This window comes from Homo sapiens, chromosome 12 (genome assembly GCF_000001405.40).
Source record: "Homo sapiens chromosome 12, GRCh38.p14 Primary Assembly".
Taxonomy (NCBI): domain Eukaryota; kingdom Metazoa; phylum Chordata; class Mammalia; order Primates; family Hominidae; genus Homo; species Homo sapiens.
Genome location: NC_000012.12, coordinates 104,862,824 through 104,881,830, shown reverse-complemented (window position 1 = coordinate 104,881,830; position 19,007 = coordinate 104,862,824). Strand labels below are relative to the sequence as shown.

The 19,007-nt window shown below is 36.1% G+C and overlaps 1 protein-coding gene across 22 annotated transcripts in view, besides 1 other annotated feature; it reads left to right on the top strand.

The window, feature by feature from the left end:
- SLC41A2 (solute carrier family 41 member 2) overlaps positions 1-19,007 on the top strand; it is a 156,946-nt gene that overhangs the window by 76,916 nt on the left and 61,023 nt on the right. For 18 of the 22 annotated variants that reach the window (NM_001387125.1, NM_001352169.2, XM_047429648.1 and 15 more), the window contains one exon: positions 15,252-15,399. In NM_001387125.1, the coding sequence (NP_001374054.1) occupies positions 15,252-15,399 (148 nt within the window). Of the gene's footprint in view, positions 1-15,251; positions 17,986-19,007 lie in introns of those variants that run through there. The other 4 variants (NM_001387131.1, NM_001387133.1, NM_001387132.1 and 1 more) reach the window with 2 other exon arrangements.
- Positions 16,374-16,503: an enhancer, noted in NCBI's record as "active region_6937". NCBI's record gives its function as "activates an Ori minimal core promoter by ATAC-STARR-seq in GM12878 lymphoblastoid cells {active_cell/tissue: GM12878}" and the evidence as "EXISTENCE:reporter gene assay evidence [ECO:0000049][PMID:35858748]".

Here is a 19,007-nt window from a genome sequence, read left to right as displayed (position 1 = left end):
ACCTAATAGACATCTACAGACCTCTCCACCCCAAATCAACAGAATATACATTCTTCTCAGCACCACATTGCACTTATTCCAAAATTGACCACATAGTTGGAAGTAAAGCACTCCTCAGCAAATGTGAAAGAACAGAAATCATAACAAACTATCTCTCAGACCACAGTGCAATCATTAGAACTCAGGATTAAGAAACTCACTCAAAACCGCACAACTACATGGAAACTGAACAACCTGCTCCTGAATGACTACTGGGTAAATAACGAAATGAGGGCAGAAATAAAGATGTTCTTTGAAACCAATGAGACCAAAGACATAACATACCAGAATCTCTGGGACACATTTAAAGCCATGTGTAGAGGGAAATTTATAGTACTAAATGCCCACAGGAGAAAGCAGGAAAGATCTAAAATTGACATCCTAACATCACAATTAAAAGAACTAGAGAAGCAAGAGCAAACACATTCAAAAGCTAGCGGAAGGCAAGATATAACTAAGATCAGAGCAGAACTGAAGGAGATAGAGACACAAAAGAACCCTTCAAAAAATCAATGAATCCAGGAGCTGGTTTTTTGAAAAGATCAACAAAATTGATAGACCGCTAGCAAGACTAATAAAGAAGAAAAGAGAGAAGAATCAAATAGAGGCAATAAAAAATTATAAAGGGGATATCACCACCAATCCCACAGAAATACAAACTACCATCAGAGAATACTATAAACACCTCTACGCAAATAAACTAGAAAATCTAGAAGAAATGGATAAATTCCTGGACACATACACCCTCCCAAGACTAAACCAGGAAGAAGTTGAATCCCTGAATAGACCAATAACAGGCTCTGAAATTGAGAGAATAATTAGTAGCTTACCAACCAAAAAAAGTCCAGGACCAGACGGATTCACAGCTGAATTCTACCAGAGGTACAGAGAGGAGCTGGTATCATTCCTTCTGAAACTATTCCAATCAATAGAAAAGAGAGAATCCTCCCTAACTCATTTTATGAGGCCAGCATCATCCTCATACCAAAGCCTGGCAGAGACACAACAAAAAAAGAGAATTTTAGACCAATATCCCTGATAAACATTGACACAAAAATCCTCAATAAAATACTGGCAAAACGAATCCAGCAGCACGTCAAAAAGCGTGTCCACCATAATCAAGTTGGCTTCATCCCTGAGATGCAAGGCTGGTTCAACATATGCAAATCAATAAACTTAATCCATCATATTAACAGAACCAATGGCAAAAACCACATGGTTATCTCAATAGATGCAGAAAAGGCCTTTGACAAAATTCAACAGCCCTTCATGCTAAAAACTCTCAATAAACTAGGTATTGATGGGACATATCTCAAAATAGTAAGAGCTATTTATGACAAACCCACAGCCAATATCATACTGAATGGGCAAAAACTGGAAACATTCCCTTTGAAAAGTGTGACAAGACAGGGATGCCCTCTCTCACCACTCCTATTCAACATAGTGTTGGAAGTTCTGGCCAGGGCAATCAGGCAGGAGAAAGAAATAAAGGGTATTCCAATAGGAAGAGAGGAAGTCAAATTGTCCCTGTTTGCAGAGGGCATGATTGCGCATTTAGAAGACCCCATTTTATCTGCCCCAAATCTCCTTAAGCTGATAAGAAACTTCAGCAAAGTCTCAGGATACAAAATCAATGTGCAAAAATCACAAGCATCCCTATACACCAATAACAGACAAACAGAGAGCCAAATCATGAGTGAACTCCCATTCAATCTCTTTGCATCAAAGAGAATAAAATACCTAGGAATCAATCTCAATTGCTTCAAAGAGAATAAAATACCTAGGAATCCAACTTACACGGAATGTGAAGGACCTCTTCAAGGAGAACTACAAACCACTGCTCAACAAAATAAAAGAGGACACAAAGAAATGGAAGAACATTCCATGCTCATGGATAGGAAGAATCAATATCATGAAAATTGATGGGGATGCCATTCCCATCAAGCTACCAATGACTTTCTTCACAGAATTGGAAAAAACTACTTTAAAGTTCATATGGAACCGAAAAAGAGCCCACATTGCCAAGACAATCCTAAGCCAAAAGAACAAAGCTGGAGGCGTCATGCTGCCTGACTTCAAACTATACTACAAGGCTAAAGTAACCAAAACAGCATAGTACTTGTACCAAAACAGAGATATAACCCAATGGAACAGAATAGAGCCCTCGGAAATAATACCACACATCTACAAGCATCTGATCTTTGACAAACCTGACAAAAACAAGAAATGGGAGAAGGATTCCCTATTCAATAAATGATGCTGGGGAAACTGGCTAGCCATATGTAGAAAGCTGAAACTGGATCCCTTCCTTACACCTTATACAAAAATTAATTCAAGATGGATTAAAGACTCAAACCATAAAAACCCTAGAAGAAAACCTAGGCAATACCATTCGGGACATAGGCATGGGCAAGGACTTCATGACTAAAACACCAAAAGCAATGGCAACAAAAGCCAAAATAGACAAATGGGATCTAATTAAACTAAAGAGCTTCTGCACAGCAAAAGAAACTACCATCAGAGTGATCAGGTAACCTATAGAATGGGAGAAAATTTTTGCAATCTACCCATCTGACAAAGGGCTAATAGCCAGAATCTACAAAGAACTTAAATTTACAAGAAAAAAATCAAACAACCCCATCAACAAGTGGGTGAAGGATACGAACAGACACTTTTCAAAAGAAAACATTTATGCAGCCAACAGACACATGAAAAATGCTCATCATCACTGGCCATCAGAGAAATGCAAATCAAAACCACAATGAGATACCATCTCACACCAGTTAGAATGGCGGTCATTAAAAAGTCAGGAAACAACAGGTGCTGGAGAGGATGTGGAGAAATAGGAACACTTTTACACTGTTGGTGGGAGTGTAAACTAGTTCAACCATTGTGGAAGACAGTGTGGCGATTCCTCAAGGATCTAGAACTAGAAATACCATTTGACCCAGCGATCCCATTACTGGGTATATACCCAAAGGATTATAAATCATGCTGCTATAAAGACATATGCACACGTATGTTTATTGCAGCGCTTTTCACAATAGCAAAGACTTGGAACCAAGCCAAATGTCCAACAATGATAGACTGGATTAAGAAAATATGGCACATATACACCATGGAATACTATGCAGCCATAAAAAAGCATGAGCCCACATCCTTTGTAGGGACATTGATGAAGCTGGAAACCATCATTCTGAGCAAACTGTTGCATGGACAGAAAACCAAACACTGCATGTTCTCACTCATAGGTGGGAGTTGAACAATGAGAATACCTGGAGACAGGGTGGAGAACATCACACACCAGGGCCTGTGGTGGGGTGGGGGGACGGGGGAGGGATAGCATTGGGAGAAATACCTAATGTTAATGATGAGTTAATGGGTGCAGCACAGCAACATGGCACATGTATACGTATGTAACAAACCTGCACGTTGTGCACAAGTACCCTAGAACTTAAAAAATGTATATATATATATATATATATATATATAAAATACAGGTATATTATTTGCAGATTTGGATATTTAAATTACCATTAAGTCATTTATAACACATTTTTCAGCTGCTTGCAAATACCAGATATCTCCTCAGTTAAAGACAGTGGTAAGAAAGTAAGAAAGAGAATGCCGTTGAAGAATGTTATCATGATAAACATGGCAATTGTTATAATGTTACAGAATTAAGTACTATGAGATTCCAGAAGATAAACAACTATTGAGGAAAATAATGCACACTGACCTTTACAATTTTATTTAATTAATTAATTAATTAATTAATTTTTTGAGACAGAGTCTTGCTCTGTCATCCAGGCTGGAGTGCAGTGGTACGATCTTGGCTCACTGAGACCTCTGCCTCCGGGGTTCAAGTGATGGTCGTGCCTCAGCCTCCTGAGTAGCTGGGACTACAGCTACTACAAGCACACGCTACCATGCCCGGCTAATTTTTTGTATTTTTAGTAGAGACGGGGTTTCACTGTGTTGCCCAGACTGGTCTCAAACTCCTGAGCTCAGGGAATCTGCCTGCCTCGGCCTCCCAAAGTGCTAGGATTACAGGCGTGAGCCACCACGCCCCACCTGAAATTTTATTTTTTTAAATTATACAAGGGATAAACTCTCCTTATAAAAGACTTAATCATAATGTGTTGCCATCTAAAGCTTTCGGTATTTCGAATGTTATATAGTGATGCATACATAATTTGACTGGATCAAGAAATAAAAAAAGTAAAATGGAATGTTACTATCACAGATCATGATTTTGAAAAATAATATTATTAAATATTGCTTAGGATTTTCTAATCTTTGTCTTCTGAAAGTTGGCTCAAAGTAATTCAAGATGAATTAACTAAAATAGTCTTTTACATTTTTTCTGTATCATTGATTCTCCTAAAAATATATTTTTTGTGTTACAGATCAATCCCATAGTTAATTTGTTAAAGGTATTTCTAAAGTGTCTGTGTTCAGATTGCTAAAGTGTCTGCTCTGTGCGCACTAGGGGGCCTCCTAAGATCAGCAGTTGGATGCCTAATATTTTTATTCTGAATACAAAGATTAGGAACAGGCACATTTAAATTCCAAGACTCCATTCATCCTGCTGAGAAGCTTCAGGTTTATTTCCTGATAAACTTATAGTTCAAGTTTATTTCCTGAACTATTTTGAAAACACTTAGCAGTCTTTAGAGATAAAAAGAGGATTTTATGATAGCAGTAGGCTTTAGTTATAGAGGCCATGTATTATATAGTGCTCAAAGAACTGGACATTAAGAAAAGTCTTATGGTCTCAATTCATCAAGAAGATATAACAATTGTAAATATATATGCACATAATATCAGAGCACCTAAATATATATATGATCAATTGTTAACAGATATGAAGGGGGAAATAGACAGTAAGACAATAGTAGTAGGGGACTTCAGTACCCCACTTTCAACACTGGAGAGATCATCCAGACAGAAAATCAATTAGGAAGCATTGGACTTGAACTACACTTTAGACCAAATGAATCTAGCAGATATGTACAAAACATTCCATCCAACAGCAGCGGAATACACATTCTTTTCAAGTGCACGTGGAACATTATCCAGGATAGATCATATATTAGGCCACAAAACAAGTCTTAACAAAGAAGACTTTGAGAAGATTGAAATTTAAGAGACTGAAATCATATCAAGTATCTTTGATGATCACAGTGGTATGAAACTAGGAATCAATAATAGGAAAAAAACTGGAAAATTCAAAAACATGTGGAAATTAAACATCATGCTCCTGAACAACCAAGAGGTCAAAGAAGAAATCCAAAAGGAAATTAAAAAAATATATTGAGACAAATGAAAATGGAAACACAACATACCAAAACCTAAGGGACACAGCAAAAGCAGTTCTAAGAGGGAAGTTTATAGCGATAAACACCTGCATTTAGAAAGAAGAAAGATCTCCAATAAACAAGCTAATGTTACACCTCAAGGAACTAGGAAAAAAAGAATAAAGTAAACCCAAAGTTAGCAGAAGGAAGGAGTTAATAAAGACCAGAGCAGAAATAAATCAAATAGAGAATAGAAAAATACATTAACAAAACTTAGTTGGCTCTTCTAACATATAAGAGTGACAAAGCCTTAGCTAGACTAAGAAAAAAAAAGAGAAGACTGAAATTAAAAAATCAGAAATAAAAGTGGAGACCTCAGAAATAAAAAAGATCACTAGAGACGATTGAACAATTTTAAGCCAACAAATTAGATAACCTAGAGGAAATGGATAAATTCTTAGAAACATATACCTGCCAGAATTGAATGAGGAACAAATAGAAAGCCTGAACAGACCAATAACAAATAGTTATTAAAGTAGTAATTAAAATCCTCCCAACAAAGAAAAGCCCAGAACCAAATGGCTTCATGGCTGAATTCTACCAAACATTCAAATAGTACCAATCCTTATCTTCCAAAAACATAGAACTAGAGGAAATACTTCCAAACTCATTTATTTTTATTTTTAGTTTTATTTTCAGAGATGGGGGTCTTGCTCTGTTACCCAAGCTGGAGTGCAGTGGCATGATTATAGCTCACTGCAGCCTTGAACTCCTTGGCTCAAGCAGTCCTCCCACCTCAGCCTCCCAAGTATCAGGAACTACAAGTGCATATAACCATGCCTGGCTAATTTTTAAATATTTTGTTGGAGACAGGGTCTCACTATGTTGTCTAGTCTGGTGTCAAACTCATAGTCTCAAACAGTCCTTCTGCCTCAGCCTCCTGAGTTACTGGGATTACAGGTGTGAGCCACTGCACCCAGCCCAGACTCATTTTATAAGGTCACCATCACCTGATACCAATTTTCCAGACAAAGACACCACAAGAAAACAAAACTAGTGAGGTGTGGTGGCACATACCAGTAGTTCCAGCTACTCTGGAGGCTGAGGTGAGAGGATCACTTGAGCCTGGGAGTTGGAGTCCTGCCTGGGCAACATAGTGAGACCCCATCTCTAAAACAAAAGCAAAGACAAAAATGACCTAAACAACAACGACAACAAAATAAATGAAAACTATAGGCTAATATTTCTGATGAACACAGCTGCAAAAATCTTCAATAAAATACTAGCAAACTGAATTCAACAATACATAAAGAATATTATACATCATGACCAAGTGGGATTCATCCCAGGGATGCAAGTATGGTTTAACATACACAGATCAATCAGTGTAATATAGCACACTGTGTTAAATAAAATATCTAGAAATAACTTTAACAAAGGAGGTGAAATATCTCTACAATAAAAATGATTAAACATTAATGAAATAAATTGAAGAAGACACAAATAAATGGAAAGGTATTCCATGTTTATGGATTGGAAGAATTAGTATCATCCATACTACCCAAAGCAATATACAGGTTCAGTGCAATTCCTATCAAAATTTCAATGGCATTCTTCACAGAAATAGAAAAAAGAATTCTAAAATTCATATGAAACCACAAAAGACCCTGAATAGCCAAAGCAATTTTAGGAAAAACAAAGTTGGAGGCATCACACTTCCTGATTTCAAATTATGTCACAAAGCTATAGTAATCAAAGCAGTATAGTACTGGCATGGGAACAGACAGTGGAACAGGATAGAGAGCCCAGAAGTAAACCCAAGTATATACAGTCAAATAATTTTTAACAAGGGCACCAAGAAGACACAATTGGGAAAGAATAGTCTCTTCAATAAATGGTGTTGGGAGAATGGATATCCACATGCAAAAGAATGAAACTAGACCTTTATCTTACACATACACAAAGATAGTTATCTTACACAACTAAAAATAGATTAAAGACCTAAACATAACGCCTGAAGCCATGTAACTCCTAGTAGAAAACATAGGAGAAAAGCTCCTTGACATTGACTTTGGCAATGATTTTTTGGATATCACATCAAAAAATCGGGCAGCATTTGGCTGGGCGTGATGGCTCACGCCTGTAATCGCAGGACTTTGGGAGGCCGAGGCGGGTGGATCACGAGGTCAGGAGATGGAGACCATCCTGGCTAACACGGTGAAAACCCATCTTTACTAAAAATACAAAAAAATTACCCGGGCAGGGTGGCAGGCGCCTGTAGTCCCAGCTACTCGGGAGGCTGAGGCAGGAGAATGGTGTGAACCCGGGAGGCAGAGCTTGCAGTGAGCCAAGATTGCGCCACTGCACTCTAGCCTGGGCAACTGAGCAAGACTCTGTCTCAAAAAAAAAAAAAAAAAACAAACTCAGGCAACAAAAGTAAAAATAAGTGAGACTACGCCAAATTTAAAAGTTTCTACACAGCAAAAGAAACAATCCACAAAGTGAAAAGGAAAAGGCATCCTATGGATTGGGAGAAGATATTTGTGAACCATATGTTTGATAAGGAGTCAATATCCAAAATATATAAGGAGCTCACATAACTCAATAAAAAACACATAACCCAATTTAAAACTGGGCAAAGGACCTGAGTAGACATTTCCCCCAAGAGCACATAAAAATGACGAACAAGTATATGAAAAGGTACTCAATGTCACTAATCATCAGAGAAAAGCAAACCAAAACTGAAATGAGATATCATTTCACATCTGTTATAATGGCTATTACCAATAAGATGAAAGATAACAAGTGTTGGCAAGGATGTGGAGAAAGGGGAATCCTTGTACACTCTTGGTAGAAATGTAAATTGGTGCAGTTTTATGGAAAACAGTATGGAGGTTCCTCAAAAAATTAAAAATAGAATGACTGCATGACTCAGCAATCTCCCTTTTGGGTATGTATCCAAAGGAAATGAAATCAGCCCTTCACAGAGATATTTGCACTCCCATGTCCATTGCAGCATTATTTACGGTTGTCTAGATATGGAAACAACCTAAATGTTCCTGATGGATGAGTAAATAATAAAATTGTAGTATATATACAATGTAATATTGTTCGGTCTTAAAAAAGGAGAATCCGCCATTTGCAACAACATGAATGAACCTGGAAGACATTATATGTCAAGTGAAATAAGCCAGACACAGAAGTAAAAATACTGCATGATCTCACTTTATATAGAGAATCTTTAAAAATATGTCAGATACATAGGAACGAAGAGTAGAATGGTAGTTACGGGGGATGGGGGTTAGGGGTGGAGGTGAGGCAGGAAATGGGGAGATGTAGATCAAAGACTACAAAGTTGCAGTTATGTAGGATGAAAAAAATCTAGAGATCCAATGAATGTACAACATGAGGACTATAGTTATAACTAGAAGTTTGCCAAGACAGTAGACTTTAGATGTAATTACCACAAAAAAGTGGAAAGAGGTTAAATATCTGAGATGATGGATGTTAAATCACTGGACTGTAGTAACCACTTAACTATATATCTAACCATGTAACTGTAATATGTCTATGAAAACACCAAGTTGTACACCTTAAGTATGTATCAAAAAAAGAAAAAAGTCTTATTCAACTACTTAGAATTCTGAGTATTCTGAAATGACTGAATACCCCCTCATGTGCTGTTAGCTTTCATACATGTACTAAGGCTCTCTGCATCCATGGAATTCAATGTGTGCTACTTTTCTTTTTTTTCTTTTGGAGACAGAGTCTTGCTCGACTGTCGCCCAGGCTGGAGTGCAGTGGTGTGATCTCGGCTCACTGCAACCTCCGCCTCCCAGGCTCAAGCAGTTCTGCCTCAGCCTCCCAAGTATCTGGGATTACAGGCACCTACCACCACACCTGGCTAATTTTTGTATTTTAGTAGAGACGGGATTTTGCCATCTTGGCCAGGCTGGTCTTGAACTCCTGATCTCAAGTGATCCACCCGTGTCGGCCTCCCAAATTGCTGGGATTACAGGTGTGAGCCACCACACCCAGCTAAAGTGTGCTACCTTTCTTTTGCTTCTGCTGAAATTTGCTGATTTCTGCTATCTGAAGTAAATATGCAATTTTCCCCCTTTTCCTCTCCACTCCTCCAAAAAAGAGTGAAACAAACAAGCCTAAAGCTTTGTTTACTCCAATTGACTTTATTTTTTGTAGTCATCCTGAGTAACTCTTTATTGCTTAATGGACAAAGTTAAAGTTTTTACCCTGGTATTTAGGCCTCGCGGAGTCAGTTGGAAACTTACCTTCTTAAGCTTCTGCCTGCTTCTCCTGTTCTATACCTTTTACTCCAGCCAAACTCAGCTGTTTACTGATCTCATATACCATCTGTTTTTTTTTTCCTTCTTATTCCCCTCCCTCAATTCATTCCTCATTCCCCTCTCCCAGTTCATCCTCTTCTTCCCATCAAGGCCAATCCAAATCCTTCTCATTTTTAAAGCCTACATTTATAGATTTTCCTAGTCTTAAGTGATCTTTTTTCTCCTCTGAATTCCTATAACACTTAATTGACACTTCTCTTGTGACATGTTTAATGTGTGGCTGGTCATTATAGCTTTTTCTATAAATGTTATACCTTCTCTTATGAGGATATAAGCTTCTTAAGGACAAAACTGCGTTCTTATTTTATTTCTTTGTAGCACCCTATAGTGCCATATACAAAACAGATGTTTAATAAACAGTACTTCACCAAATGCTTTATTCCTTTTGAAAGCACTCCAATTAACGTGATTAGAAGTTATTCAGAATGATTTTGGCACAGTAATTGTCCAATAACATAATAGATTGTAACAAAAAATCATTTTGATGAGGATATAGTATTGGGGAAATATTGGAAGGATATCTTAGCAGAAAGTATCTGGGAATTAGTACCACTATAGAAAAATAAAAATGGCAACACATGGCTAGAAAAGATCTATTTCAAATGGAAATAGAAAGTTCAGAGAGTAATCTAAGCTCTGGATTCTGATATACTTTTGTGTGGCTTGCAGGGACAATATAAAGGCATTTATACATTCGTATAGTAATCTTTAAACATACAGTAATCTTTAAAAGCTATTAACAAGATTCAACATTGGGCCAGTAACTGGAATATATATATGTTCACATGATTGTTGCTCCTTTCTTTCTGTTTGCATAAGTTCCAAGAAGATTTAAAAAATTCTTTTTCACATATTTATAACTGCATGGCTATCTAATTCTTGTGTGTACATGATATTTATTGATTTGAAAAAATTATTAGATATTCTCTTTGTAGGCGAGATCTGAGAGGCAAAATGTTGATTGATTTTTCATTTTTCAAGATTAACTTTAAACAGATGGCTTAGCTGAAGCTGTAAGAGCAGTAGCAATTAGCCTCAGGTTACTGCATTCCTATGGAGACTAACAAGGATGCCACCTGGTTATTTACAGACCATTCTAGAATATCTCTGCCTTAATGTGGTGGTGTGAGTAGAATCTAAATTTATCTTGAATGTCTCTATGCTTGAGGGATTTTTAGCACAGTACCATCTTAGGTTAGAGTGATTTCTAGAGTATCAGTTCCCTCAGAAAATTTAGATCAATTATTAAGGGGCATTTAGAAAAAAATCACAACTTACAGTGCCCATTGCTTTGTTGTTTACATAGAAACAGCTAATACATAAAAATTGTCAATCATAACAGCTACATGTTTCAGAAGAATTTGGGGTGAGAATGATGAACACTATTAATGAAATGATATAACAGCAGTTGGGAAATGCCGTCAACAATATAAAATGTGAAAACTGGATCACAAAAGATGCTAGTTATGTTTGCCAGTTAGGAGGCATCAGAGCGATTTGAACCACTTTAGCTGTGTTAATCTTTACTTTTCCGTAGTTTGCCTATATCACAGAGTCAGTATTAATGTATAATGGACATTTATTAGGCTTAAAATTCCAAGAAGTTTTAAATATGCATGTATTAGTTATCTATTGCCATTGTAACAAATTAGCACAAACCTTGTGGCTTAAGACAATAGAAATGTTTTTTGGGTTTTTTTGTTTGTTTTGTTTTTACAGTTCTGGAAACCAGAACAATTACAATTAAGTATAAATTCAAAATGAGTTATATAGGAATAAAATCAAGGTGTCATCAGGATTGGATCCTTCTGGTCTTGGGGAGAATCTGTTCCTTGCCTCTTCCATCTTCTGGCAGCTGCCTGCCGGTGTTCTCGGCTGGTAGCTGTATGACTCCAATCTCTGTTTCTGTGGTCACATTGCTTTCTTCTCTTCTGCAGCCACATCTGCTCCTGCCTCCCTCCTATACCTGCAATTATATTTAGGGGTCACACAAATAATCCAGGATAATATTCCCATCCCAAAATTCTTGACTTAATCATTTCTACAAAGCCCCTTTTGCCGTATAAGGTAGCATTCACAGGTCCTGTGAATTATTACTAGATTTTATTCATCCTACCCTAATACCCATTATGATATACCCAGATTTTAATACAAAATATTATTTTAACCAGGATCTTTTAAATGTGTTTCATTTAGAAGGAAGATGATTTTACATTTTAATATTAATGTGGAAGTTCATAGTTGGCCTTTAATTGACTATTTGCTCTGTTGATTGTGTCATTGGTGGTTTTCTAAAAGTAATTCTTTAATTTTATGACATCTATAAAACACCAGTATATCCAAAAAAGAGAAATGTTTGTAGCATCTCTTTTTATATATTTGTAATTTTCCCTACCTATCAAAATTGGATTAGAAGTTAGCCAGGAATAAGTTAGGAGGGTCCTATAGAATTATCCATATGGTCTAATTTGGTGGGAATGGGCATGTTGGATTTGGCAGGTAATTGAAGTAGAATACATTTACAGTAAACATTTGGAAATTTGGGTTTTATCATGGTTTTCCCACCTTTTTAACATTTAACAAACTTTTATTTGAAGATAATTATATGTTTATAGAATAGTTGCAAAAATCAAAACAGTACAAAAAAAACCCCTGCATACTCTTTATCTGGATTCACCTAAGGTTAACATTTTACCCCATTTGCTTTATCTTTTGTTCTCTCTCTTTGTCTATGTACGTGTGTATATCCTTTGTCTTTAATGACAGACATTTTTGAAGAATGTAGTCCTCCTTCCTGTTTTCCCCTCTGTGAGGATTTTTAAAAATTGGATGTAATTCACATGCCATGTAATTCACTTTTTTAAAGTATACAATTCAGTGGTTTTTGGCATATTCATAAGGTTGTACAAGGATCACCGTGATCTAATTCCAGAACATTTTCATCACCTCAAACAGAAACGCTGGGCCTGACATGGTGGCTCATGCCTGTAATCCCAGCACTTTGGGAGGCTGAGATGGGAGGATCACTTGAGCCCAGGGATTTGAGGCTGCACTGAGCCAAGATTATGCCACTGCACGCCATCCTTGGTGACAAAGTGAGACCCTATCTGTAAACAAAACAGAATACTTTAGCAGTTATTCCTCATCCCACCCCTCCTCTAACAATCACCAATCTACCTTCTCTTCGGATTTGCCTATTCTGGGCTTGTATGTAAAAGTAATCATTTGATATGTGACCTTTTGAGTCTGGCATCTTTCACTTAGCATAATGTTTTCAAGGTTCATCACGTTGTCACATGCATCATTTTTGAATCATATGAAGTGCAGAGTAACATCCAATTGTATGGATTAATGAAATGGCCAAGTAATAGTCCATTTATGGATATACTAAGTTTTGTTTATCTATTCACCATTTGATGAACATTTAGGTTGCTTCTACTTTTTGGCCATTATGCATAGTGCTGCTATGAACATTCAAGTTTTTATGTAATGTACAAGTTTTTATGTAAATATGTTTTCCATTCTGTTGGGTGTACATGAAGGAGTAGAATTGCTGGGTCAAGTTAAACTCTGTTTAACTTTTTAAGGAACTGCCTGCTCATTATTTTTAGTTTCTTTCCTAAGGTATTTTTTCTCCTCTTTGAAAATTCAGGGCAGTGATTCTGGGGTGGGTGTGGTGGGTGCGTTTTTCAGCTTCAGATGTCCTTCCAGAGATTTAATGTTGAGGATAGCTTCTTTAAAGTCTAGCAGGGTGCTCCTCTCTTGACCTGAGAATAAAATACTAAGATGATCTGACCTAGCAGAATAGTTCTTTTCATTTGTGTTTAGTGGTTTTCAATGCATTTTGTTTTCTATTTCGTTCTATTAAAGAAATTATTGGCAACCTTAGTTGTTTTAGTAGATTGAAATGCTTCCTAACTGGGATGTTATTTATCCTTATCTGTTGGCTTACAAGGAGAACTGTGAATCCATTCAACAAATAAAAGGTTTTTTTCATCTTTTAAAAAATCATGGAGAAAATGACACAATGTAGCATTAGTCATATTCCTTTAAATAGAAGAAAATATAAAAATAAATTTTATTAGTATAATTATTTTAAAGATGTGATGGCAAATCCATACAAAAGCTTAGGAGTAAAATTTGTTTAGCTATATTTTAATATCTATAATAATTGCTTATTCCTACATGATATGGAAGAAATAAAAATTTGGGATTTGTATGTAGTTCAAGCATCTTTAGTCATAGGTGAGAAGATCTTTAAATATCTTAAGAAGCAAAAGAAAGAAAATTCAGTCAAAGATAAGAGTTGGGGTAAGGGTTGTAGCATTCTGTAACATCAAAAAATTAAGTAACATTTGACTTAGATTAAGTAATCTAAGGCTGTAGGCTACAGGACTGTGAGAAGATGTGATGGCAAATCCATACAAAAGCTTAGGAGTAAACTTTGTTTAGCTTTATTTTAATATCTATAATAATTGTTTATTCCTACATGATATGGAAAAAATAAAAATTTTGGGTTTGTATGTAGTTCAAGCATCTTTAGTCATAGGTGAGAAGATCTTTAAATACCTTAAGAAGCAAAAAAAATAGAAAATTCAGTCAAAGATAAGAGTTGGGGTAAGGGTTGCAGCATTCTGTAAGATCAAAATATTAAGTAACATTTGACTTAGATTAAGTAATCTAAGGCTGTAGGCTATAGGACTGCGAGGCAAACTCTGCCTTTAAGTTAAAAAGTACTTATTCTGCATAATAAATTAATTAGAGTTATGGAGAAGAAGCCAGGAATATCTCTGATAATAATGAAACTTTGATCAGTTAAAATGATATTATCCAAAAAATGCCTTGAGATGATAAGACTTTCAGTAAGGGATATGCAACTTTTAACCCTAGGGAGATTTAGAATTAAATATGAATTGAGAATCAAACCTAGTTTTTCTATTTCATTTTGGAGCTTGGATATCTATTATCAGTAGGCAGCCAATATTTTATGGAATGCCTGTACTATAAGATCCCTATGGACAAAAATAATATCCTATTTACCTTTAGAGTTAAGAGCACTAACTTTGGTGTCAGATACATATTTTCTTCCGGCTCTCCCTATTTCCTCACTGTATTCTTAAGTTTCTAAGCCTCAGTTTCTTCATAAAATAGAAATGACAGTATCTATTTTATATTGGTGGGGACAATGAAATGAGATGATGAATGTAAAGCATTTAGCATAGTACTTGGTATATAGTAGGAGCCCAATAAATGTTAGCTTTTTTACTGTTACTGTTCTTGTTGTTATTGTTATTATGCTATTTTCATGTAGGTTATGTAACTATTTTAGTAAATGTTTATTGAATTAATGTGTTACTTTTCAGTTACATTGTTTAATATTTTTACCTTATTTACAGTTATAAATTTGTTTGAAGTTTATAGAAAATGTATAGCATGTTAATATGTTTGATAGTGTCGTACCTTCTAGTAAACTTTGATAATTTAGATCTGCTACATAGAAGAGAGATTTAAATGTTGTCTCTCTTTTTTTTTTTTTTTTTAATTTTAGAGACCTATTACTACATTTCTCCATTAGTTGGTGTATTTTTCTTGGCTCTAACCCCTATTTGGATTATAATAGCTGCCAAACATCCAGCCACAAGAACAGTTCTCCACTCAGGCTGGGAGCCTGTCATAACAGCTATGGTTATAAGTAGGTTAGTATTAAAATATGTGTGTGTGTGTGTGTGTGTGTGTGTGTGTGTGTACGTCTGTCTGTCTTTGTGTGTCTTCTATAAGCATATATGTACATGCATATTAAAATAAATGAATTGCCTGTTTTTATTTCTTAGGTTAATTATTTTATATAGCCAATTCATTATTCTCCCGGGTATTATAACAAGGGATCTAAATGACAGGCATAATTAATGAAATCAGTAGATGTAAAGAACCTCATGTGGCTACCAATTTCAAACTTCTCTCCAAAGCCTTACCAGATTGAGTAAAATTTAGTGGTGTTTGTCTTTGTGTGTGTATGTGTATGTTAACCTGACAAGGACATTACTTACTCTGAGTATTAAGTTGCTCAGATGAGTATCATAAAGCCTTAGAAATGTATATTCCATTGGCTACTTCCATATCTAGGACTCTGATGACCTTAAAGATGTAATTAAGGACATATGTAAAAGATTTAGCTGCAAGCATCCTCATCACCCCAGAGTTTTTAATAACAAAAATAAATAGAACAACATAAAGGTCTTGCAATACGGTATTGATCAGATAAATTATTATATAGTCACAAAATGGAGTATCAGCCATTAAAATAACATTGTAGCATTTCTATTGCTATGGAAAGAGTTTATGATACATCTGATGAGAAGAACAACCTAGAAAAGAGTATGAATTTCCTATTAAACATGTTAGATTAAGAAACGTTTCTTTTCCTTCCTGAAATTACTAAAAGGACAGTAAAAGAATAAAAATGCTATAAAACCACAAAGACAGAGGAGGAGCAAAGAGGGCAGCAGGTGAGAGACAACATTAGGAAGATAGGAATCAGATGAAGAGTTGTTAACTGAATGAGCAGAATGAAAAAAGCTGACACCTAACTGCCTATCAGAAGCAAGTCTCAGAAACCCAGAAAGAGGAATTAAAGGCATCAAGTACATCTGAAAGCTGCAATGAGGAAGATTGGTTGAAAGTTTAGGTAAGGAGCAATTAGATCCCCACAATCTTTCTCCAGCTTTAGCACCCATGTGACTGCCCCCTCACACCCTAGCAGAAGACAAGAATAACCTCTCAAGAGGCTAAATCGGAGAGGTTCTAGATTCAGAAACATCTGTACATGTGAGGATGTGGCTCAAGCACTGTGTGACAAATAGCAAGACTAAGTAAAAGTCTACTGAACAATGAGAACCCTATCCCACTTCCTTTTCTTTGTATAATGCTGAGAGACAGCCTTTTACCCCCAGGCAAAAAATTAGATAATTCATTTGTGGGGGAACTTACCAGCACAAAAGATCAGATCTGCAGATACTAACCCTTGTGAGTCCTTTAATGAAAGAGCTACAAACCCACCTGATTGTCTTCCATGAGTCCCACTTGCTGACAAACTCTGCCCATGTACACAGAGAGTTCCAAGTATGCCTTGCAGTGCCCCTTAAACAGGGCAGCCAGTAAAGGATTGCTAGACATTTCATAAAGGCCTCTAACATAAAAGACAGATGGGAAAAAAAAATAGTACTCAAGGAAAGTACCATCAGTACTTTCAGAAAACTCTTATCAGTATCCTCAGATAAATAAGAGAAACTATTGCATAATAGCTATTGCATAATATTCATAATATAGGAACAGAATGCAAAAGAAGATTTGAAAAACACAAAGAGCTCTTGGGAATTAAAAAAATACATAAATGGCAGAAATAAATTATGTAGAAGAGTTGGAATATAAAGTAGAGGAACCCTCCTGAAAAGCAAACCATGAAGCAAAGAGATAGACAATAGGAGGTGAATGATAAGGAGAGAAAATTCTCAAATAAATAATACAAGAAAATTCCCAGAACTGAAAAACATGAGCTACCTGATGGAAAGCGCCTGCTAAGTACCCAGTGCAATAAATTAAAGTAGGTGGGACCCAAGTGAAAGCATATTATCATGAATCCCAAATGTTTCCAGAGAAAAAATAAGTTACATATAAAGCACTGGGAACCAGAATGATGTCCAGTAGCAACACTAAAATGATTCCTTTGAAATTCTGAGAGAAAATTATTTTGAACATAAAATACAGTCACAATATCAACCACGTGTAAGAGAAGACTAAAGAAATTTTCAGACAGGCAGGATCTCATGGAATTTACTGCCCCTCTACCCCTTTGTATAAAGCTGAAAGGAGGTGTGGTCTATCAAAATTAGGAAACAAATTAAGAAAGATGATACAGGAAAGAAGAAATCTATTCTGTGACAGCATGTGGTTCATTTTTCTGTAATGTAGATTGCTTTTTTCCTGGAGGATTCAGGCAACAGAATCCCATGAAATACTGGGCTTTTGTTATAGTACATAGACCAGGATCCAAGGGGGTATTGGAGGGAAGGTACAGGATGACAGCTGTACATCAGGCCTAGACAGGCAACCATCCAGATTGGCAGGAGGACAGGGGACTTAAGGAGGGAGGTCTCTAAGAAAAAAAAAAAAAAAGTGGAATTGATGAGTTTGACTGTATTGAAAGGTACTTCATAAACTTAGTTACACATGTGAGGTTGAATTAGTAATAGGTACCTAAAAAGTTAAGAAAAATATGAGGCAAAGCAAAAAGCGTACGTGAGGATATCTAATAATACACTCTGTGGCTCAGCTATGAGTAATGAAATTTCTGTTGTTATAATAAAGTCAACCCTAAGTATTTCACCAGAAATTATAACCAGATTAGCAGGATGGGAGGAGGAAGGGATTTGGGAAGGGATCAAAGTGGGAGGGAAGTGTAAGAGAGGTCAAATCCTCATCTGCCATAGTAGGAAGTCATTTGCTAAATGTCTAAAATTTAATATGAAGAAATAGCAGTATAAGCATGTTATTTAGAAAAACTAAATGCCATAAGAAACTACTAAAGAAGATAAAAAGAATTTCTAGTACAGAGAAGGACCTGGAGGTGGGGCTAGGGACCATTATTTTATTATGAACTTTATGGTACTTTTATATACCTCTTTTTTTTCTTTTTAGAGATTGTGTCTCGCCGTGTTTCCCCAGCTGAAGCACAGTGGCTTGATTGTAGTTCACTGCAGCCTCAAACTCCTAGGCTCAAACAACCCTCCTGCCTCAGTTTCTTGAACAGCCGGGACTACAGGCATGCACCCACCCAGATAATATTTTTACTCTTTTGTAGAGACAGGGTCTCACTATGTTGACCTGGCTGGTCTTAAACTGCTAGTCTCAAGCAGTCCTCTCACTTCGGCCTCCCGGAGTGCTGGGATTATAGGCATGAGCCACCATGCTGGCTGTACTTTTACTTTTTTAATGACACACATCTATATGATAAAAATAAAATTTAATAAAAGCAAATAAAACTACTTTTATCATTTAATTTTTATTTTTAAAAATGTATATAGTAAAAAAGCTGGGTTGCGGAGATGTTGGTCAGTGGATTAAAAATTTTGGTTAGACTACAGGAACATATTCAAGAGATTTATTGTACAACATGGTGGTGATAGTTTATAACAGTGTATTGTATTCATCAAAATTGCCAAGAGATTTTAGGTGTTCTCACCACAAAAGATAAGTATGTGAAGTAATGCATAAGTTAATTAGCTCAATTTAGTCATTCTACAATATA